General features: G+C 38.3%; 1 protein-coding gene and 1 pseudogene across 59 annotated transcripts in view; one reads left to right on the forward strand and one right to left on the reverse strand.

The window, feature by feature from the left end:
• On the forward strand, positions 9,110-10,001 carry NOP56P2 (NOP56 ribonucleoprotein pseudogene 2; annotated as a pseudogene).
• The window catches only part of ELAVL2 (ELAV like RNA binding protein 2), a 160,498-nt gene continuing 152,374 nt past the window's right edge, over positions 17,343-25,466 (reverse strand). For 25 of the 59 annotated variants that reach the window (NM_001385696.1, NM_001351460.2, XM_011517779.4 and 22 more), the window contains 2 exons: positions 20,687-20,725; positions 17,343-20,126 (listed from right to left, as the gene is read on the reverse strand). In NM_001385696.1, the coding sequence (NP_001372625.1) occupies positions 19,796-20,126; positions 20,687-20,725 (370 nt within the window). In that variant the 3' untranslated portion in view covers positions 17,343-19,795. Of the gene's footprint in view, positions 20,127-20,440; positions 20,555-20,686; positions 20,726-25,466 lie in introns of those variants that run through there. The other 34 variants (NM_001351466.2, NM_001351462.2, NM_001351456.2 and 31 more) reach the window with 5 other exon arrangements.

Consider the following 25,466-nt stretch of genomic DNA (forward strand, 5'->3'; position numbering starts at 1 on the left):
TGAGCAACAACAGTCATTTGGGAAAACAGAATGGAACGTCTTAAACTCCTTTTCCCTTTTATAATTAGTTGGCAGAGAGACATTTAAAGTGGGCATACACTTAAGGAAGACAGCATATAAATATGATTTTATCCAGGTATGACAATCCCTTAGTAATCTGAGACTTGTGAGATTTGGGGATTCCCTTTGTAGGTTAGATGTTTCTCTCAGAAACAGAGCAGCTGAAAAGAGCCTCAGGTGTGTAGACAGTGATCAAGTCAATGGTTAGAGTTCCAACGGGCTTAGGGAAAACAAAAGAAAGCCTTGCATCATTTAATGTGTTGAAAGGCCCCAACAGAATCACATATTAATAATAATAACAGCAGCAGCTAACATCTTTCGAGCATGTACCAAGCATTATGTTAATGGTTACATCTGTTATTTATTAAGTCTTCCAGCATTCTCAGGTAGGTACTGTTGTCTCATATTATAGAGGAAGAATAAAGATGCTTTCAGAAATTAAAGAACTTACAAGAGCTCATCAGTTTGGAACGGATAAAGCTGTTATTGAAGCTTAGCTGCTGACTCCAGGGACTAATTTCACTTGTAACTATGAAACTATATTGACCATGGACTGAGATTCATGTAAGGCCGCTCACACAAGGGAGTGTCATCATAAGGATATGAGTGGTAAAGTGGAAGACAAGGATAAGAGCCCAAAAACATGCTTCAGGGAGACAATAAGTGGAGCCAAAGTAACTAGAAGGATGCCAGGCAGCACAAGTTCATGGGTCTTCACTCCTGTGTATCACTATTACTGACACAGCTACTCTGCCTACCTGCTTTCCCTTCTATTAACTTGTTTCTGTTCTCTGTAACTGGTCCAAGTCACTCATTGTCTAGGCTACAGATTGGTTGTCGGCTGAGTTAGGTAGCAATGGTTCAATTAACTGAGGCCAGGTACAAGAGCAGGGGCCTCAAGGGCTGCTGAGGGCCCCAACTTCAGCTGAAGTTATGGGAAAGGCAGATACCTATGGAAGGAGCCATAAGAACAGTGGGCCCCATGCTGCTCATGTAGTACAGAAAGCAATTCTGCATCCATGTTTGTAATCTGCCTCACATTTTTTGGCTTTTACAGAGATTGTTTATATCCAAAAGGGCACACGGGATTACTTTTCAGTCCCAGCAGTCTATGTGTAGTGACTACATGGATACAATAGTATATACATACGTGAAGATCTTTCCTACTAATAAGTACAAAGAGTACTAACAAAGACAGGTTACTTATGGAAGGGTTTCCTCTTCCTTCTTCACTCTGTTTGTTTCAAAGTCCTGTTTATTAGAATTAAAAGGTGCATGGTCCTGATTTCCACTTACCAGGAGGCTGGTCATTTTTCATCATTACGTAGAGGGGTGGCTCCCAGTTTAGCTCAACCATCTGTCGTCCCTCGCAAGCCTGAGAGATTCACAGCAGGACCAGTAGAGTTTGCCAACCCTCTCAAGCAGGCTCTGAGGGCAGGGTTGACAAGTTACTTCCCAAGCCTGGGTGGACCAGACAGGAAGAACAGATCCATACATATGACTAGACAGAGCCAGACACGCAGGGATAATAGGTCATCATAAAAGCAAAGTTGGCCTCCAGAAAGAAGAAAACCCACCCTGCGACAATCACTATCAAAACCACAGGTATTCACACAGGATACTTCCATCGAACTCCAAATGTCTCTAGAGCAAAGAGGTTAAAAATGTTCTTGTGGTAAGTAAAACCTCCTTTTCATGCAAACAAAAATTAATCACATAAACATTACATGGTGACATAAGCCAAAAGATCAACAAAGCTTTACAGTAAGTAGGATCAATCCACTGAAAAGAATAATTAATGTTCAAATAAGCAGGGCATTCATTTTTTTTTCCCTAAGAAAATTAAACTCTGAAGATATGGGTTACTGAATATCATTAGATCAGAACCTAACTATTAACACACTTCATCCAGGTGGTGCTCAGCTCCACACAGCTTCCTGCTGGAGTCAGCTTAGAAAGGATGACGGGGGAGTGAAAGTAAAGGCGCAGTTTTCGGCCCTTTTTATGAAATGTTACAATCCTGAAATATTCCACTTAACTTCTCCAGGCTCTTTTAAATGCACTTCTAACAAACTGGTAGGACAGGTGTGAGAAAGTATATGAGGCTCGGAGTCACCAGGAGCGAGTTTACACTCGCTCCCAAGTTCTGCCATTTACTAGCCTTTGTTACATCCAGCAAGTCCTTCAGTTCTCTTGAGATTCAGATTCTTACCTTCTCACCCCAATCCCAATGAGCATCTTAGCACCTGCCCTATCTATCACGAGATTCTGCAGATCAAATTAAAACGTATATTCACAGCTTTACAACCCTGAAGTAGTCATCAGGCATTTTCATTTTTAATGGTGGCATGGACTCAAATCTCTTTTACCCAGCTTTCAATAAAACAGGGTACATGGTGAGAATGGGTTCCAGAGGCCAGGTTAAAACCCCAAATTTAAATCTTAGCTCTCTAAATAAATCTTGGCAATCTACTTACACTCTTGTTTCCTCAGCTGTAAAAGCGGAAGACACAACTCATTTTGTAGAACTATGAGGTGCTGCACACGAGGCGGGGCTAACAATGGATACTAAATGAAATACTGGTTTTCTTCTTCTAATCCTGTGGTGCCTTCCAACTAAATCTTCTGTAATTATCCAATGGCTTTGTGGTATTATATCTTAATATATAATATACAATGTTCAAAATGAACACAAAACTGAAGATATCCAACCTTTTCAATTCTTATATTGTTCCAAAAAGCACACCTTTATAAACTGAAACAAAAGAAATTTACAGGCAGTAAAGCTTTAAAAATCCTGACACGTGTCATATAGGAACGTGCTCTCTTAGCAGTTACTTTATATTATCTATAAATGACTTACTTTTTATTACAGGAGATAAGTGAAAATTAAGGGCAAATGAACAAAACTTCACATACCCAGGCTTTACCCAAAATTCTAAAAAGTAGAGTTTGCTAAGGATTGCACCCACCACAAGTAATGAAGCAACTTTTTTCCCTTCTATTAAGACATACCAAGTACTTGATGCCATCCAGAGAAGATAAATAATGGTTTAAACATTACAGGAAAAAGATCCTTTAGAAAAACTTACTTTTGGGGTATTTTTCCTGTGCCACTGCTATATTAAGACTTTACAACACAAACAAGAATACGTATCAACTCAAAAGAATTTTCATTTTGACAAGAACACAAACATACCTATTGAAACTCATCCAATATCCAAATCCTCCTGTTTCCTCAGTCTTACAGATTTAGCAGTCTTACAACGGTGAGGGCCAGTACTTCCTGACCACACTGATCAACCGAACTGTTTGCAACCCCTCAAAGGTACCCGTGCTCTCAGCGTATAAACACATAAAAACACCTTAAGGCAAAGTAGGAGGTGGCCAAGCCTTGGCTGCTCAAGAACTGCCCTAAATCAATTTTAAAAGGAAAAACGAAATGGCCATGTCAACCGCCGGGTTCTGATATGTGTTGGCTGTACTTGGCTAGAGAAATGATGGAAGTTATCAAAATTCTTAGAAAGAAGTAGCATTTAGAAAAGCAGAGATGTGCAATTTGTTTTTTCTTTTCCATGGACAAAGACAGTAAAGCCCCTAGCCAACCCATTAAATGGTTAACTGGAAACAGTTCGCATATTATTCCTCTGGCCTATTTCTCTCTACACAGATTTTCACCTCTAGTAACCACAGAACAGTTTTTTCCATCAACCATAGTCCTTTGCAGAGTAACTTTTAACAAATAAATGTGGAACTACTGTAGACTCCACCTCCAGCCCTTAGTAAAAGTAACCAGAATTGGTTGCAAAGGATCTGCTACAGTTTGAATGTCCCCTCCAAATCTCATGTTGAAACTCAATTGCCATTGTGACAATATAATAGGTAGACCCATTAGGGAGTGATTAGGCATTGACAGCTCTGCCCTCATGAATGAATTAATGCCGTTATCACAGGAGTGAGTTCCAGATGAAAAGCAAGTTTGGCCTTCTCTGCCCTTGTTCTCACATTCTCTTGCCCTCTAGCTTTCCACCATGGGACGATGCAACAAGAAGGCCCTACCCAAATGCTGGTGTCATGCTCTTGGACTTCCCAGCTTCCGCAACCAAGATACCAATAAATTTCTGTTCATTATAAGTTACCCAGTCTGTATATACCTAAAGGAATATAAATCATTCTATTATAAAGATGCATGCACACGTATATTCATTGCAGCATTATTCACAATAGCAAAGGCATGGAATCAACCCAATTGTCGATCAATGATAGACTGGATAAAGAAAAATGAAGACACACACACCATGAAATACTATGCAGCCATAAAAAGGAATGAGATCATATCCTTTGTAGGGACAAGGATGGAACTGGAAGGCATTATCCACAACAAATTAATGCAGGAACAGAAAACTAAACATTGCACATTCTCACTTGTAAGTGGGAGCTGAGCAATGTGAACAAATATACACAGGGAGGGGAACAACACACACTGGGGCCTGTGTAGGGGGAGGGAGAGTATCAGGAAAAATAGCTAATGCATGCTGGGCTTAGATAGGTACAGCAAATCATCGTGGGACACGTTTACCTGTGTAACAAACCTGTATATCCTGGATATGTATCCCAGAGCTTAAAATAAAATTTAAAAAGAAGTTGCCCAGTCTGTGGTACTCAGTTATAGCAGCACAAAATGGACTAAGACACAATCTTAAACTAATTGAGTTCAACCACCTAAACGACACTTGGAATATCCCAGCCCTGGAAGACATCCAACCAAAGCTGCAAGATGTCCAGGGAAAAGACAACTCCCAATGCACATACCCCAGGCCTATGAAATCACTTTTTGGGCCCAGGAATCTATGTATACATGTTTCAACAAGCCCTCTGGGTCAATCTTAAGAATGCTCAAGTTCAAGAAACACTGCCTTACATCACTTCTTCTCAAACTTAAATATGCGAATGGATCAACCTGGGACTTCTGTTAAGATGCAGATTATGGCTCAGTCGTTTAGGGGTAGAAGCTATTATAAAGTAAGTTTGCATTTCTTACAAATTTCCAAAAGACATCAATGCTGCTGATCCATGGGCCATAATTAGAACAACAAGACCTTGAGAACAGAGTCCAGGTCTTATTCTATGTACTATAATAATTTATTAGCAATCTACTTTGGCAACCAAGATTATGTCATGTTGAAGGTGATATGGTGGTAAGTAGTTGGAACACTGTGTGAAATACTGCACATTTTATTTCAGGCAAGTCCATATCCTTCATGTTTATGCACGTCAATTTAGATAGCAAGTGCTACTGTAAAATGTATTTGAATACTTTTAGGTATTATTTCACTCATATGATACTACTCAGTTTCTAAATAATAGCTTGGTACATAGAGGTCTGTGGTTCTAATCACACAGAGTGCTCAACATTGGTCAAGTCAATCACTTTTCCTTTACCAGAGTTCCTTACCTGCCAAATGAAGGCATTTGCATCAACTAATCCACAAGGCTTATTACTCCTTATGGGTCCAACAGCATGCATGAACAACAGGAAACAGCAAAAACAGAAATACCCATAACTGCTACCGAGGTAATTTTCTACACATACAAAGCAGTTAAGATAATTGCCTATCTTGCCACCAAAAGAACAAATGTTTTGTCTCTGAAGACAGAAAAATAAAGATTTTAATCAAAGATTTTAATCTGAACTGGGTTCCATTAAAGCTTGCAAGCTTTCTTACCTGTTAGAGGCTCACATACCGCAAGACAAAAGGGAAATAATCTGGGTTCTACTCCAAAAAGTCTGACTCTGACCATGCTTTAGTCAGGATACATGCTTTCGTCTTTTTCACTCACTTACCTAGAAACAGATAACTCATCTTTCCATCTTATTCTGTGACGATGAAAGAAGCTAAACCCTAACCCCTAACCCCTTATTCCATTAGGGAATATGTATCTTTCAGAATTACGAAAATTAGTAATCAGGTCATGGTCTACATTCAGCAAAGGAAAGCAATAATGACAAGACAGTTTTATATAAGAGTCTGATACTAAGTCAGAGAAATATCTGCCCAAGTACACCCAAGAACTCCACATGCATGTAACCTCCTGATATTGTTGTATGTCTCTTAGGATTTGGCTTTTGGTGAATAAGTGGCATTAGTCAAGCTATCAACTCTAAGTAGAGGATATTCTACTACTAATAGTAAATTCAAGCAGGTCAGGTTACCTTTTGGCTATTAACACCATAATATTACCATCAAAAAGAGGAAAGTTATGAAGTCTTGTATTTATAAGTGTACGCTAAATACCACTCACCTGGTCTCTTAAGAAATAGAACATCAGACATTTCAACGTTTCTTTACATTCGTCTGATTTTTCTGATACACACACACACACACACACACAGAGAGAGAGAGACACACACACACACACACACACTTCAGACACAGGACCAGTTTATATATTGTCCAAGATGGAAGACGTTATAATTAACTGTTTATATCACTAACTTTATATAAGAAACATTCACACTTACAAGATGTTCTTATCCAAGGAGAACAGAAACAACACACAACAAAGTTTACTGAGTGTGTACACTTGCACTTTCTTTTGAAACATAGTAATTCCTTTTCCCTACTTTTCCTGGAGTCACTGTTTTATAATTTAGGCATTATTTTCAACCCTGACACACCCTCGAAACAAGCAAATCCAAAATGTAAAAAGAAAACAAACCAAAAAAAACCAAAACCAAAAAACAAAAAACCCACAACGAATATTATCAGCACTAATATTTTGATAGAGAAAATAACATTTTAGAATGAGCCAGGCCTCACACCCTAACTGTGAGTAGGTAATAACTCCTCAGACTTCACTCTCCCCTTTTATGTATCCTGCATGCATTCTGAGTGCTCACAATGCTCAAGGAACTGTGGTGGATACAGAGGAAAAGAAACACCAAGCTGACCTGCAGGAAAGGTACTACTCTAAGGGATTTTCCAGTCTAGGAAGCTAAAACATGAGCTAAGTTATGTATGTATTATAGACTTCCCCTCACACAAAAAGCCCAGCTAGGCTTTTTTCCAGGTGATGTATTTCAGCAGTAAAACCAAACCACCTCACTTAAGGGTAAAATGTTTCTATCAAGGCCACCTACTATTAACCATTACAGTATACTGTGTTAAGACTGCAGGTTTTGAAGTCACACGAGTTGCAGATCTAGCTTAACAATTTGCTAATTACAGTCCTTGGACGAGTTTTTAAACCTCTTTCAGTCTCATCTTATTCCTCTGTCAAATTGGATTAGAGTATCTCTCTCATAATGTTAAGCGAGATAATGCACAGAAAATACTTAGCATGGTGCTTGACTCAAATCATTTCGTCAAATATAAGTTTTCTGGGTGTCAACTAGTATAGAAATAGACAACCACAGGGTTCCTGGACCCTGAAGAGAACACAACAGAGGAGGAGGAGGAACGAGCAGAGCAAGAACACCTCAGATTTCCTATACCCTTTCCAGCTAACTCCAACCACTAATGTGTCTCTGCCTTGGCTGAAAAAGCCCTGTCTGTTATAAAGGCTGTCTGGGATTTACCCTAGAGCCACTGAATCAGAATCCAGTTGTGTCTGAAGCATCTGTATTAATAAGTTCCAAAGGTGAGTTACCATGCATACCTAAGTTTGAGAGCCACAGTGCAAGATAAAATGCTTTACAAGTGTTTCAATATTTGTTGCGACATGATTCAACTAAGATCTGATGTTTTACTCTGAGCCCAATACAGCTGTCTACAGTCTTCAAAATCTCAGGATCACTGTCCAAAATGTCACTCAGAAATCTTCCTAATGGAATTCTTCCTGATTTACCTCCACTCCTTGCCCAGGGCTCCTGCCCATTGTGTGGGAAAGAAGAGCATGACACAGAGGTGCCCTCACTGATCCATCTTGCTCTGAGGTCTGGTCAACCCATCTATCCTCACTCACAGCTCCACATCCTTCTCATCTCACTTTTCCATATCTCTAATGGGTCCTTAACTAATTTATTCAAGATGATGTTACCACATTGCTTTCAAACACTGAGTATTAAAATCAAGTCTGAGTATTAAAAAACATTGTCTAATAGACACACTCCAATTCTAATGATTTTGGTGCCCTAGTATATATTGGCTTGGTTTCCAAACAGATAAAATATAAATTGTCTTAAAGAAACAAAAAAATCCATCAACAATTCACACTACGATAATTATTTAATCTTCATTAGAAGGAAAAAGGGAAGAAAGTCTTGCATTTGCTGAAATTTGCATGTGGTCAATTCAAAACACAAATACTGTAGGAGACTACAGAATTATTTAAAAATCGTTATCCAGAGAAAGATAAAAAATATTTACAGAAAAAGTTTCATTAAAATTACTAGATAAATTACCAGATAAAATATACCAGCATTTATACCTCTCCAATTGTATGAAAATTTCTATTACAGGGAGGTGTGATTAAAGAACTACACTACTTGACTTAGTAATAGATCTAAGCTGGCTACTCAAACAGATTGCCATCTGGTCACTCAATTGCCATTTGAAAAGCTGCTCTAAAAATATCTTCATATAAGTGCGTAAATCTCATCAAAATGTAATGACTTCTAATTAATTTATGCTAGCTAGCAGGAAACAAAATTTCAATGTACACTTGAGATTCCCACTTATAATACAATTACCAAAACCCTCCAAGATTCCCAAATTATTTCCCCAAAAAGAGACACGGTTAACATCTCCTGATTCCACTTACTATGAAGCCACTATAAACTAGTCCTACAATTAGGGCAATCTCTACCAGCCTTTTAAATGTAGGGGAGTCCATCAATTTGCTTTAGCTACAGAATACACAAAATACGCATTTTCTTATTTCCACAAAATGGCAACAGTACACAAAAGTAAGCGGGTGCTGCTATTTACCAACTCTAAGATTATGTACACTTCTGTAAAATGGGAACAATACAGAATTCTCTGCCTCACAGGTTGTGAGAATCAGAGAGAAAATGTATGTAAAAGCATACTGTTTCCCAGGGCCTAGCAAAAGGACCAAGTCTCCAGAACCCTGATGACAAAGGGTAATACACCAAAATATGGACTCGTTTTCCACTCCACCTTCACTGGCCAAGCAGCTGCCAGGAATAAAGGTCGCATCTCCCAATACCTGGCAAACAAATGCAGTATTGCCTCGCAAATCGACTGCTTCGCTGAGGTGCTCATGAGCATATTTGGGGAGAAGCTTCAAGAACAAGTTGAAGAGAGACTGTCTTTCTATGAGACTGGAGAGATCCTATCAAAGAAAATGGATGTCATGAAAACAGAAATGGTTCAGGCAGAGAAAACGGCTGCTGAGATTATTAGGAAGCTGGAGAAACAGGAGTAGAAACACTTAAACAAGGAAAAGAAATGCTAGCTGCACTTGCCGTCCCATCTTTGGAAAACAGAACTCCAGAGGAGTGTGCAAAGACAAGTGTAAAACCCAAAAAGAAGAAAAAGCAAAAGCCCCAGGAGGCTCCTCAGGAGAATGGAATCAAAGACCCATCTAACTCTTTCTCCAAACCTAATAAAAGGAAATCTTTTTCCAAGGAGAAATTGGTTAGCAGCCATCGAGAAGAGACCGCTGGCAGCATCAGTCTTCCCAACAGGAAGACGTCTTCACCCAAGGAGGAAGCAGTTAATGATCCCAAAGAGGCAGGCAACAGGAGTGTCACTAAGAAAAAAACAGGAAATTCCCCTTCAAAGAGGAAGGAGCTGGTCAGCAGTGGACCTGAAGAGGCTGCTGGCAGCAAGAGCAGCTCCAAGAAGAAGAAAAAGTTACATAAAGTACCCCAGGAAGATGAGAGTGCAAACGGACGTCCCCCGTCAGGCGGGGCACATCCTACCCCAAGGCGACATTTCCCATTCCGTGTCCTACACCCCAATAAAAAATTCTCACACACGAAGCATATTGTGAATCCTAAGGCAGTATGATTATGGATATGCACAGAAATATACACTCCTTCACCAAAATGATATTCACAGGCAGAAGTACAGACACTAGAAAAATACTGAAACAACTCCTTCATTTGAGCTGCTGTTTCTGAAGTGTCAGCCATTAAACTGGAGCCAAGATTCTCTAAGAAGATACTCTTTCCAAAAGACATAAATCAATGGGCACCAGATTGTATCTGTGAATCTCTCTCATGCGTGCACATGCAGATTATCTCACAAAAGCTCCAACAAGTCCAAAGCAGCAAACAAGAAGTAAACACAAAAGGAAAAATTCCTGAGAAAACAGCATAATGTTTTGAGATGAGTCACATCCAGGTTTGCATGGGGAGGATTCAGGAAAAGGAACAGTACATGCTCTTTCTGCACATGCAGCCACAGCCATCCTGGCTTGCACAAAACAGCAAGGTGTTTAAGTGACTCTGATCAACACAGCATGCTGATGATCCCATTGTACATTTGATTTGGCTCAGGATCGCCCAATCGAATTTGCTAACACAGTAGACTCCAGAAGAATCACCCATTAACAACAATCCAAATACAGCCTCTAAATGTGCATAAGGCCTTTTGTGATCTCCACTGGAGCTTATAGTATCTAACAGCTGCAACTGTGACTGTTCTAGCTAATTGCTCTCAGCAACAAAAATAAACAATCGCTTCAGGAAGGAGACTGTATCCACCAAATATTAATGAATTTTTAAAATCAGAAATCTCAAATCTTGGTTTAAAAATCTTGCTACTGCTAAAAAGTCTGAAACAGAGTTAAGGAGGCCCTGAAAGTCCTTATTTTGTAGTTAATTCGCCCCTCCCACCCACCTAACCCCCTCCCCCACAGTTAAAAAAAAAAAAAAGGAAAAAGGAATGTGGCTTGGGTTTGGAAGAATTTAAGCAATCTGAGATATTTTAACTCATGTATAACTTTTTAACATATGGGGGAAAAGAGTCGCACTGATTGGAGCTATTTTTAAAGTGCAGCTCTACCATAAAAATAGACATTTACTCATAAGGATGCTTGAATAGAGAACAAGCCCAATCTACGTCTCATTGTTAAGAAAGGGGTGAAAAAAGGCTGTCGTGCTTTCTGGAGAGCCGTTTATGGTCCGCCTGTGATGTCATGGCAGGATCCAGGTGCACTCTAACGAGCAGCTTTCAGTCTCATCAATTCCTTTAAAAGTGCTCTTCTACCATCAGCTAGTTCTCTGAGCACAAGCAATAAGGAGCCAGTATTTACCCAGACCCTTGCAAGACAGAACATCACCGCAATCACAGACCCAGGAAGGAGGAGGAAAAATTACTCACACACAATTGGGTTCATCGTCGTCCTCTCCTCCTGTCCCCATTAGGGATGGAAGCATTTTCTTTTGCTAAGAAAAGAAGGACAGAAGTAGTTATCAGTACCCTATGACATCTACTCACCCTCTGTCCGTAGAGAGAAAAAGTAGCTTCATACTTCTCTCCCTATCCATGACCCTACTGCATAGCTGATGCTTGCGACCAAATTACCCACCGAACACAGTAGCAAGTAGTCATTTAGGCATCACTACCCTAAACTGAGGTTTGGAGAGATCATCTTAGCGTCTGGACTTCATCTGTCTTTAGCCTTTTTAAAAGGCTGGAGACTCATGCCTGTAATCCCAGCACTTTGGGAGGCTGAGGCGGGCGGATCGTGAGGTCAGGAGTTTGAGACCAGCCTGGCCAACATGGTGAAACCCTGTCTCTATTAAAAACATAAAAACAAACAAACAAACAAACAAAACTGGGCGTGGTGGCAAATGCCTGTAATCCCAGCTATTCAAGAGGCTAAGGCAGAACAATCTCTTGAACCCAGGAGGCGGAGGTTGCAGTGAGCAGAGATGGTGCCACTGCACTCCAGCCTTCCAGCCTGGGCGATAGGGCGGGACTCCGTCTCAAAAAAAAAAAAAAAAAGCCTGGAGAAATACAGTTGTAATAGGAAACCACATAGAACTCCTGATTTTTACACCTCCCTGACATAATGTCAGCAACAATCAATGTAACAAAAAACAGACAACAGCTTTGACATGTCTTAAAAATCAGAAATACGTTATTTTATCTCAAAAAATATTATTCATATACGCATAGAACACAATTAAAAAAGCAAAAAAACTTTATTAAAGAAAAAAGCAAATCTGAACGTTTAAAAATGTTGTAGAAAGGATTAAAAATAAAGAGGCAGCGACAAAATGTACTAAAAAATGTTTTCTTTCCATGAAAGGACTGAGTAAATTTTGACCTGAATTTTTTTGTACTTTATGCATTTTCGACAGTGACTATACTATTATTGACTGAAATTATTCTTAAGGGAGGTAAACGATATTGAGCACATCAAAAAATACTATATGCACTTACCTATGTTCAACTTCTAGATGCCATACATATCCTGAAGGATTTCAAAAATCTGACCTCCTAAAAGGACACAGCTTATTAAAGTTAATTCAGCTTGTGTTTTAGTACTTTGATGGTAGGAAGGACAGAGCTCCAAGAGTGGGGGAGGGCTGGGTTTCAGTGCCAGGTCTCAGGTTAGCAAAAAATCTTGGAGAACCTTAATCTCTCTGGGTCTGGCTCATACATCTGCAAAATAAGGTGTGCTGAACAAGACCACTGAAGTGTCTTCCAACTCAAAACCAGACTGAGAAATAGAACATAGATTAAGTCTTCAGCCTAAATCTTACAGCATAGTGACTGGTACAGCGTAGATGCTTGATGTACACTTAGTGAAAGAAAGGAAATTTTAAAAAAGTAAACTATTTAAATCAGAGCTTCCCACACATAAGCCCTGGTGTGCTGCTTGGCCTAGAAGTGGTTGTACGTGTGTGGAGATAAAGGTTCCCCCTCAGGACAGGCACTCATGACATAAACGAGCTTGGGAAGCACAACTTTTAAAATGTACTACTATTTCAGCAAAAAATAAAATAAATTTTCATTATTAGGATGAGGATAAGTTTCAGACTAAATTTATGAAAAGTTCTTACCACCCTTTATGTAGGAAAGACCGAATGCTTGGCTTATCATCTGGTCCTCAGGCCATCTTAAGACAGAAAACATAAGTAGCAGTTTACTTAAGCAAAGAGGACTTCTTTATGCAATGTATGAATAGAACACAGGTACTTCTTTAAGAGTAACCCCTGAAAAACAGAATACATTCAACATATAGTTCTCTACATACAGAAAACACACTGCAGCAACCATTCTCAAGAGATGAAATTTCTACTAAAGAACATTTCATAAAGTAACAACTGCAATTTCTGCTTCAGCATTTCTAGTAATATCTGCTTAACCTTTCTGATAGTCACCCAGGTTTTTTTTTTCTTGGTGTGAAAATCTGCATTATTTCTTATAATTACTACTACACCTAAGGCATAACAAAACATTTTTAAAGAAATAGATGATCTACAACATGGATGTAAAAGTACGGGGATTTTCTTTCAACAAGGTGCTCAATGGTACTTCCTGATGGGCTGCTTTTTTTCTTCAAGGTCCAAGGAATGAAGCACTGCATCTTTTGGATGCCTACATAGATTTATGGGTCATGACCTCCCTCCCCCATTCTCATGGCCAGCTGCTGCACCTTTGCCACACTGCAATTAAAAACCCGCAATCCAGATAACAAAACTACCTTGCCAACTGTGTTTCATTCCAAAGAGTGAGTCACCCTGAGAATGGCTGCTGGTCTCATCATGTCTGCAAGAAAATCCGCAGATGGGCGGGTTGTTTCTGAAGCATGCATTCAACAGGACGAGGAGCATTCTCAAAAGGAGTACACCATGAAAATCAGCATTAGAGGTAGCATGTGGCTATCAACAACCTGTAGGTCAAAGGGCCTTACAGGATTAAAAAAACCCAGCAAGGTTCATCATTGAAATGGTTATTGAGTTTCCAAACACCAAAAAAAAAAAAAAAAAAAAAAAAGGGCATCCTATCAAACTAAAACCTCATCTTGCATATATCTGAGAAGTATTTGAATTTTATAATTTTTCCCTCACCTTCGATGAAGGTGATGCTTGAGTGATACAGGTAAGAAGAGTGTAAAATTCATATCCAAGAAAGGAATGAATCAGGTACTGTAACACTAGAAATAGTATAAATCCTAAAAAATGATAACTTTTATCATCTGAACAATAGAGTTTTTTAGGTATAATAGTGGGAGAAAAAGATCAGTATTCTGTTGCTGGAGAGATTCTATTTTTGTTTGATCTTTTCACATACACTGACTGCCTGACACACCCCAAATAAATGTCTCTTTTAAAAGAGAGGAATGTCCCTACCAAGTTCTACGGAACTCCCCAAACCACACATAACCTATCATGGCAAGTAATTTTTAGTGTTGCAGTAGAAATGGGCAAGAAAAAAAGTTTTGCTGTTTAGGTATTTTTTAGACTTAACTAGTCATGGGCACAAACTCCTAAGTCTAGACTGAATATGACTTATTAATTCTCCAGAAATAATAGAGGTAGAGGCTTGCCTATGTCTTTGATCCCAGGGATGTCTTCTTGAATTGCCTCCCCGGGTATCTTTTAAAATCCCACCTACCCTTACTGATGCAGCTCAACTGCTGCCACTTCTGTGTGGCTCAGCATTCCCATCCCAGGAACAACCTTCTCCACGACTACATGCAACATTAGGAGTCTCCCCACTTCCTCCTCTTTTAATGCACTTTGTGTACAACACTTTACTGTAGTTACTTACAGATGTAATCTTCTAGAGCATGACAGGCTCCAGGAGAGCAGAAAGGCGTATGTCTTCCACACATTTATGTCTGCAGAAATAGACTGTTTTCTTGTATTTATAAGGTTGCTATAAGGTATTTATTTGAAAAAACACCTATGAGTGATTTTGAGGCTGAGTATTAACGTAGTCTTCACCCATATCTTTAGTTACTTAAACCAAAAGTAATGTTAATACTAAGTTTAAGATCCTAAGATAGTGGTGAGTCTTAAGGTAGGGTAAAACCCATCAAGCATACTTATAATATCCAGGGTACTTTACTATATTAGTACATTCAAAATCGTCACTCCATAGTTTATGTTTAGAGAGAGCAAGACTATCCAGCCAGATACCTCACGCCATCCAGTTATTCAGATCGACAGTGTCTTATCGTTTATTAGTAGCTTTGCGTTTTTTAAAGAGAGGATCTGGACAACTTGAGCATGGCAGCGTTCAAAGATTTGCAAAACTAAGTGATACCACTGTCAGACTGAAAATTAAACAATCAGCCAACAATTAGTCCAAGAAAGGAAAAGAAGCATCTGTAAGAGGAGTAGAACAGGTTTTACTTTTGTGAGTTGTAACTGCATTTATAAAAACTACAGCAAAGTAGCTTGACAGCTGCTCCTGGGCTCTCATAGCACTTAGGACGTTGCAGTCGTAACCTGCTGGCTTGTTAGTCCTCCCTTCCAGGTGGTATCCAAGAAGGTAAGAGCAGTATTTTGCTCACTTTTATAGACCCAGGGCACAGTATGGTAGATAGTTAACTATGTGCTGACCAACCAAAAAATCTTTATTTTTATGAGCCAGAATTCTAGAAAGGTTAATTTCAATAAGGTCCATCCTATATCCACAGGATGCCTGTAATAGTGGTGTAAATATTCAATCTTTGCAACTTGAAGGGAGATGGGCCTACTTTTGGAAATTTTCAGAGGAGGAGTGTGACTACTACTAGAAGTAGAAAAATATGGGCTATTAACTGCAATGACAGACTATAAATGCTCTTCATCCAATAATAATAAACTGTCACGATTTTATCAGTATTTGTTTGGTCCCACTGTTTGAGGTTCCACTATAATAGAGGCATAAAAAAGCTAAATGCCCCTCTTTTTTTCTTCTACCCAATAAAAGGTATATGGCCTATTGCTCCATAAGTAGGTTAATAGGCCTAGGTACTACAATTTCAACAAACTTATTAAAAAACACATTTTCTTTGTTCTAGGTAACGCTGTAAGCAAGCAGTTGTCAGTTTCCACTACAATTCATTTGTAAACCTCTTATAAAAAGTAGAAATCTTGCAATCTGTTTATCTTAAAAAAACAGAATGGTTAAATTGCTAACATTTTTTTCTCAGATTATAATAATGTAAAATGATGTTAACATTAAGAATTTCACGTAGGCCGCTCTAAAACTGAATTTCAATATTGTTCAGATAATTTCCAAGCACAGGTTAAAAAAAAAAAAAAAAAAAAGGGAGAAAGACGAAATTTCTCCTCAAATATACCAGTAGTTACTATACCAACTTCCTTTGCTGAGAATTTTTCCACTATCTGCTCAATTATAAAAGAACTGCTGACATGCAAACCAATCAAAATACCGATAAAACATGCAAGAGGAGAGAGGTGAGGGGAGGATGTTCCAACATCACAAAATTAGAGTATTAAATTCATATAATAAGAAGAGGGAGTATGGAGATTTAAGACTAATTGCATGTTGAAAAAAGGAAGTGTCTTGTCACTCAACTACGCTCTTGACTAGTAGGTTGTGAATTCAAGACAATTACTTTTAGAATGGCTTTTACCAAAAAAGCCGACAGATACAATAAAATTAAAATAAGTCATTTAGTATACTTTGTTTAAAAAAAAAGTGTTTCATTATTATACTCATTTGTCTGAAGTTCTATAGAAGTAGAATCCTTTCACAAAAGATCAGCAGGAAATCCTTTTAACCTTCACAGATCTGTTAAGGGTGTATACAAGAACTGAACTTCTATGCGAAATACGGGGTTGGCAGAGTTCATGGTTTGTAACGTGTGTGACACACAACAACACTAACTTAACAGAAACTGAATTTCTGATTTTAGGGAACAATCTCTTGACAATCTAGCATTTGTGCAAAAAAGTAACTTTCACACAGCAACACTTAATCCCATGAGGGAATTAAAGATTGCCAGTGGAAGCCGAGTAAGCTACTTTCCTCCTGTTTGGTTTTTAACTGACGTGTAAGGGTGATTATCTGTGCAAAAAGCTGAAGGTTGAATCCCAGCCATAAAATGGTGTCGATATCCGATTTCCCAAACTTTACAACTAGCAGATGAGAGTATGTTCTCCTGTGAGAATTACTCATTTAGCAGTATTTGAAAACTAATCAGAAGGTGTCATTCAGTCCAAAAATTTTCTGCACGTTCTACTTCAATTAACTTGCCTTTTGGAATTCTAAGAGGTAACACTGCTTTCCACTAAAACTCTCAGGGAACTTCTTTTAATTCAAGAAAGCAAGTCTGCTTATTAGACTGAGCACAGGTGCCCCCGAATTGTGTATAAAGACCTACTCACCACACTGTTCTTTCCCTTCAACTTTGTTTATTGATGTACTGAACATGAAAAAGTACAAAGAATCCAAACACAAAAGAAAACATGTACAGCCTCTTAAATACTCAACAGAATATATTTTCTATTCCAACAGATGTGAATTAAGTCATACTGTACAACTTCAAATAAATACCAGCCTTACATTTTATTAAGTGCTCTGATAAAACACTGTAAAGTGAAGCACAATTTGCATGCCCTCTCATCAATGCCTTGGTTTGCTACAGTAGTATAGGAAAGAAGCATGTAGCTGCTGTTTTCCCTTGAGGGAAACCTTATTATTTTTTTTTAAGTATATACATGTATTTTATTTTTTAGTGTTTTTCTTTTTTTAAACGCAGAAGGTTAACTCTGGCAATCTAAATGCACCTAAGGATATGAGAAAGTGCTAAGCCAATTGATTTCTGAATAGCATTGAGTGGGTCAGCATGAAAACTCGCTTATTCACTTTAGCACGCGCCTCACAGTATATGTACTGTACTATACTGAAAAATTTTATAACTACAATTTTAAATAATAAAAAATAAAACTCAAAGCAACCGCAAAGATAATGTACAACTATGTTATGCATAGCACATTGCCTGTTCTAAGGGGAAGCATGTGAGCATCTCAGTTTATACAAAAAGCAGGACGTAACTATATAGTTCTCAGTGCATCCTGATGAAGGCATTTTTGCCTTCAGCTTTTTTGAAAATTTATTATAAGCTAGATGCTAATCAGAAAATATTTTGTATTTTTTAAAATTTCTTTCATACATGGTAAAGACTTATTTTATTATTTCCCCAAATAGTGGTTTTTAAGCATCATACAAAGTTAAATTTCAATAGCATACAGATATTTATGATTTTTGTATGAAAAATGTAAGGAAATTTGTTCAAAACCTATGGTTATACTCATTTTTTTATACCACAAACATATTTATAAACCAAAATGTAGCATCACCATAAACAGCTGAAGCTAGACTATCTACAGACAAAATTTGCAACAAATCTGATGCACTGTAAATTCAAGTCCTCAGGACAACAAAAGTGATTAAGCAAGACCTCAAGTAACAATGTTAATGCCATTTACAAAGGAAAAAACTGATACAAAAACATTCAAAACCTGAACATCACTTGGCATGTAAGGGAAAAAAAATTAAATTAGCTGAAAGGTTCATAAACACAAGGTCTTATTTACATTACACAAAGCTCAGGTGTTAGCCTTGAACGTAACTTTCAAAATACCTTCAAATATATCCAACTCAGATCACTTTTGCTGATTTGCTGCAGTACAAATCATGTGCAACGTCTTTTTTCCTTAAGACAAAACAATTCTTCAAACAATACTGCAAGTACATCACTAAACACCATGAGCTCTATCTGAAGGGATTTCTTTAGGAAGAACAGATTTTTTCCCCCATCTCTCGGTAATTTAAATTTCTTGCCTGCTCTTATATATTCTTTTGTAAATTTTTTTTATTTGTTTCAAAATCACAAATCAATGTGAGCCACCTATCACATAATAACCAGGATGATCAGACGCTCCACTGGTGATTACAAAAATGAAACCAGCAGTGTTTCCCCCCATTGATTCTACTCCTTTCATACAAAGATCTCAAAAGTATTTTCTACACCATAAATCTTTCTAAATTTTCCAACCGCTGCAAATTTCCTGGTAAATTTTAAAAGCTCACTAGGTGTCATATGAAGAGATTTCTCAAAGTATTCAAGTCAAAATATTTGTTCCAGGACCAGTAAAAAGTTTCTCCAAATTTTCTTTTTTATAAAAATAGATGCTTTTTTTAAACCCACATCAAAGAGGCTCTTATCTCTTTGGCAAGGTACTGCTTTACGAAAAGTTCTCCAGTATTCTTACAATAAGCGTTTATAATGTAGCCCCCCCTTCCCCAACCCAAATCATAATTACAAAATAAATACTGTTTTAAACTTCATAAATAAAAATGTAAACTTCAAAATACTTTTCTTAAACAGACATAACAGCAATGCTTTAAATGTAAACCAAACACAAAGCTAATCAGAAAAAGGAAAAAAAGGGGGGAAAAAAAAGACACAACCAACTGAAGAATTACAACACAAAGCCTCAATATTTACTCACAGGTTCAAGGCAGTTATGTAAAAAGAAAAGAAATGTCTTCCCTTAGCTGAAACACTTTAAAAGGTCCACCTTCTTCAAAGAAGGCAATAGAATGCAATGTGACAGGTAAAAACCCTGTACCTCTTGTCCATATTCAAACATAAAAGATATTTAAGAAGTTTTAATTCAAATACTAGCAATAAAAAATCTCACATATTTCTTAGGATGCTAAGTAGTCATTTTATCCCCATCTCAACACTGACTTACAAAGACATTTACTAATGTATAAAGTTTCTCTTAACTTGCCTTTGTTGTATAGTTTTCATATATAAATGGACTGAGGACAAGAGCTCATTAGGCTTTGTGCGTTTTGTTTGTCTTAAAGGAGACCTGCAGTACTCTGTCTCCCAGACGGTATCCATTGAGGCTAGCTATCGCCATGGCAGCCTCATCATAGTTTGTCATAGTCACAAATCCAAAACCTTTGCATTTATTGGTGTTAAAGTCACGGATGACCTTCACATTGGTGACAGCTCCAAAAGGCCCAAACATTTGCCACAGGATACTCTCATCTGCGTCAGGAGCCAGGTTGTACACAAATATACACCACCCTGTTCCAGGGTGCCCAGGGATATTAATTCCAGCCAAACTGGTCATTCCGTCAATGGTCATTGGAGAAAACCTGCTAAACAGAATAGGAAATACACACATACACACAAAAAATAAAAACAGAGGTTGGTTATAGCAATGAACGTATACCTTTTCCATCCCCAAGAATTTTAGTAACTCTCCTCCCCCAACAAATATATAAACTATTTCATGTTTTGACCAAGGTCTGTGTGTGGCTTTGCAGTGACATGCTAGACTACTGAGATATTAATAAGTTATGAAATGACCATTATTCACTGTACTGAATATCATCCACAATAGCAAAGAAATATATTTAGAACTGGCTTCATGAATTAAGCAGGATTGGCAGGGGAAGGGATCAACACATACGTAAACATGCTGTAACGTCGTAACGCAATACGAAACAAATGATGGGTTTTTAAAAGACCAGGTGGCATCCGGTGGTATAAAAATTTCTTGAGTCAATTGTGCTTCAAAGAGCAGCTTTTCATTAGGTTGCACATGCAAAATAAAACCCAACAAAAACTTATGAGGGGTGTGAATAGCACTCCCAAAATCAAAGAAACCAATCAACTGTGGAAAGGGATTATGAGTATCATGAACCTCTATCATTACCTCTTTACTCCATAAGCCATATTGAGCAGATTGTCCAACCTGCAAAACACACATTTAGCAAACTTCAGTTTTTAATTTTTCCCCTTGATGTTCAAGAAAGTTGGGCTCATTACTGCCATCTTCCGAGGGGATATCTGTACACTGATTATATGTGAAGACTCAGAATGCTGGGTCTTTTTACGTTTTTAAGCTAATGGGCACCGACTGCCACAGGACAGTTCTTCCAATGAATGGTTTCTCTCTACAAGGGTCAGTACATGGGACACAGTGACGGTCATCTGAGGATACCTTTCAGAGAGGAAGTGCGAAAGCTCTGGGATAGTTAACTTTAGGGTTCTCATCAGGTAGCTTCAAAGTGATCAATGTATAGCTACATGTTCTTTATACTACTTTTGATTTTCACAACTCTGTTGGTGCCTGCAGATACCTAAGGCACACAGGGTTTAAGTGGCTTGCTCAAGACCACAGGGCTAGTAAATTATGGCATTGATACTCAAACTCTGCAGGTTACAGAATTCTATACATTTTCCTTTCATTTCCCAACTTTGAAGGGCTTTCATCTTTTAGAATCAAGGAGGTATAATTACAGGTAGAAAAAACCTTATGGACAACCCAAGCTAACCCTCCCATTTCTCAAATGTGCTCAGCTGAGGTCTAGAGAAGGAAAAAAGAAAAATCCATCACTCCAGTGTGCAACAAAGCCAAGAGTTCAGATCCTGATCTGGATGCTGTATTCAAATTACGCTACAGGAAGTGTCGTCCTACTCAGTTTTCAAAGGCCAGGTAGGAAACAAAACAAGCCAATCTGAGCCTCACTTAAAATGTTTATAGAAAGTAAATAGGGGTGGGGGTGGAGGTGTAAGTACTCTTTAAAACCTTCTACATTTTTCCTATATCAAATATTAGTTTTACAGCATTTGACTCTTCTTTATCAGTTTCAAAACACCACTCTAATGTCCCAAATTTCCACAGTGCTTACCAACTAATTATGTGTTCTGAGGAGGAGGCATAACTTAATACATAGTCCACAACCACCCTCAACTGCTACAATGCTCAACACTCTCCAAAGACATCCCAGGGTTGTCCCTCTGGGACTGGGGGTGGGGGTGAGAATTTTTTCTTTAACACCCGTGAAAGGTAAGTTTGAAAAGTCTCAGCCTTATCACCTAACCTGTGGCATCAAGTCACGCTAAAGTATACATGCAAAAGCCAACACCTTTTAGTTTTGTAAAAGCCAAAACACATCTCATCTGGTCTTTCAGAATGGGGAAATATATAGCCTCCCACATCCCTGCCCTCAGTCTCCACTGAAAATTCTGTTTTGTAAAGATGAGAAGAACTGAGCTTATGCAAAGTGTAAGGAAACAGAACAGATCACAATGACAAAAGATCTTCGTGTGTGAGTGTGTCTCTGTGTGCGTGGTGCGTGTGTGTGTGTGCGTGCCTTGACCCACCACCCTCTCATTGCACCACTGAGCACAAGCCAGGGTCACTGATAGTTTATAATAAATATGTGATGACCAAATAAAGACAATGAGGTTACCAAAATTATGGTCAACTTAGTCCAGAATGAAAACTAGTAAGAGGATTGGTTGGATGACCTTGTCTGCACATAAGTAAAAAGATGTGGGGTTTTATTTTTTGCAGAGGTGAGTACAGTCAAAGATGCCATGCCTTTATAGTCAAGAATAAGGATCACAACTACCAGCAATAAAGACAAACACATATTAGCACCACCAATCATAAAGTAACAATACAATTTTATCAAATTGCTGGAATGATCAACACAGAATGCATTTGGCATATGCTACCTGTAGAAGAGAACCGCATACTGAGGTCTCCAACCAAAGTGCTAGAAGACCCAGAATGCAGAGGCACCTTATCAATTCACTCAAAAGTTACATCATCTATGCCCATTAATTGCATCCATGTAGGGACAGGTCATGCTTTGCTACCACCCACTCAGGACACCAAGCATACGGCCCAGAGACAGATGAGTTTTCAGAATTTTCAAACAGGGTAGAAACCAAATCTGCCCCTGAAGTGAATTACCGTCAGGCCTTTTTTAACAATGGGGATATGTTCTGAAAATGTGTCACTAGGTGATCTCGTTGTTGTACGATCATAGAATGCACTTATACAAACCTAGATGGTAATAGCCTACCACACACCTAGTTATATGGTATGGGCTATGGCTCCCAGTCTACAAACCTGTATAACATGTCACTGTACTGAATACTGTAGGTAATTCTAACACAATGCTAAGTATTGTGTATTTAACCATATCTAAACATAGAAAAGGTAATGCATTGCACAATATTAGGATGACTATGATATCACTAGACAATAGGAATTTTTTGCAGTCTACTATATTATGGTACCACGGTCGTACATGTGATTAACTGAAACGTTATGTGATGCATGACTGTACATGCAGTGAGGGAGAAACATTTCGTTTTCCATCCTCCATCTCCCTCACTTCCATCTCTGGCATCCCCAGACAGGAGGTTTCGAATTTTTTATAACAGGATCTCCGAGGACCCTCCAAATTATGATAGGGCATCTTTTTTACCCTATCTGTGAAGTTTTACATGATACCATGATCTTCACTGATTCCTTCACTTCTCTCTCATTTTAGAAAAAAATTGGTCCTTTGGAACTAAGCCAAGTTATCCACTCTAATCTTTCTTCTCCTCCATCACCAACGAGTGTAGGGAGAAGCATGGAACCTAGAAAACAGTGCCCAGGCACTGCTGAAGCCCCCTGACTGTATGCATCTGAGCCCAGAAGTATTTCCTAGCTTTCTCGGTGCCATAGATTCATGTTTCCCATGGGAGCTCAGAAAAGGCAACGGGTGCTCTACATGGGCACCATTCACTCCAAATCCAGTAGCAGTTGGCAAACTGTAACACAGGCAGTTGTAAGAGAAAATAGTGCAGCAGCTCAAACACAAGGACTACTACAACAAGCCCCTAGAAATATGTCTGCTGGGTCTGTCCACTGCTCAAGGACATCTTTTTATTTTATTTATTTATTTTTGAGACGAAGTCTCGCTCTGTCACCCAGGCTGGAGTGCAGTGGCGTGATCTCGGCTCACTGCAAACTCTGCCTCCCGGGTTCACACCATTCTCTGGCCCCAGCCTCTCGAGTAGCTGGGACTACAGGCACCCAACCACCACGTCCGGCTAATTTTTTTTGTATTTTTAGTAGAGACGGGGTTTCACCATTTAGCCATGATGGTCTCGATCTCCTGACCTCGTGATCCACCCGCCTTGGCCTCCCAAAGTGCTGGGATTACAGGAGTGAGCCACCACGCCCAGCCATCTTTTATTTATGGTCATTTATAAATGGAAGTCAATTTTTAAATGGAGAGCAAGCTAGCTGCCTCCAGAATATCTCAGGGAGGGGTGTGGATGATAACGTAGTACATATGGAAGGTAAATATTAAAGTATCCATTAAATATATATTTAAAATAAAATATAAAATAAATATGTATTTAAAATAAAGTATTTTTTACTTATATTTAATAGATGCACTGAACCCAGTACCTTCTCAGTCCTGTGTATCACCTGCCTCCCTGGGGGAAGACTGAGCAATCATCGAAGGGGAGAGGCGGCGAGTGGCACTCTCTCCTGCTCTTTAGCCTGAACAAAATCCATTTTACAAATAACACAGCAAGCAGATATGGAGGATTAGACTGGATAACCTGCTTTAATTAAAATGACCTCCATTTAAAGAAAAAGTAACTTAAAAAAAGATTACTACAAATGTAAATCAGAGTAAAGAATGGTACCAGTAAGGGAAATACAAGTAAATAAGGAAAGGGAGAGCCGATTATTTCTCCTACTCTTAGTACAAGCTACATTATAAGGTTAGACACAAGATAATCCAACATGCATCACATGAAGTCAGATGAGATATCTGAAATTATTTTATGGTCTTGCTTTAAAAGACATTTATTAAGATATTAGGTACATGGAAAATGAAGCCAACCAGTATAGTAATTAGCAAGACATTTAATACAGATTGTCTCATCTTTATCCTTTTTTATGTTTGATTAGAGTTTATAATTTAATGAATAGCACACGCCCATGTACATATGTAATTTATGAAAAAGGCACATAGGAGAGAGATGTGTATAAACATTTTTCTATCAACAGGACCAAAGCTCCAATTATAACCTGTCAAAATTTTGAACAGAACCATGTATCAGATCATTCCTATTTTAAAGCTAGGTGTTCATAAGTAGAAAATAAAAATAAAGTACCTGCCTAATTTCTAAAAAAATTAGCTGATGGACTATGGGAAGGCCTACATGTAAGTAAGGGGAAATGTGAACCCGATTAAAGTCAGAAATAAAAATAGGAAGATAAGTTATTGATGGGTAAGAAAATATACTCGGAATCCCACAAATAATGATTATCAAAATCTCTCCAAAGCGCCAACCGAGAACTGCTTGGAAATTATCTACAACAAGATCATCTTCTTACTGCCTTACTGCCTTATTCAATTAGATGGTATCATCTGTCCTCTAAGAAAGAGGAAAAGTATTCAAGGGGATTGATACCGGTTTCTTCCAAAAGGAAATTGTGATAATGCAACCAGTACGTCATGCCTTAAAGGCAACTCAAGTGCTCATTTAAAAGGCTTTTTAAAAAATGCATAAAGGCTCATAGAAGCAGGCACACAGGTCATTACACTAGATCATATTCAATAAAATTATAGCTGTTTCACAGAAAAGAACATGAAAAAATTTGGCTTAAAGTTTAATTCTGATAT

This window comes from Homo sapiens, chromosome 9, assembly GCF_000001405.40.
Source record: "Homo sapiens chromosome 9, GRCh38.p14 Primary Assembly".
Lineage (NCBI taxonomy): Eukaryota > Metazoa > Chordata > Mammalia > Primates > Hominidae > Homo > Homo sapiens.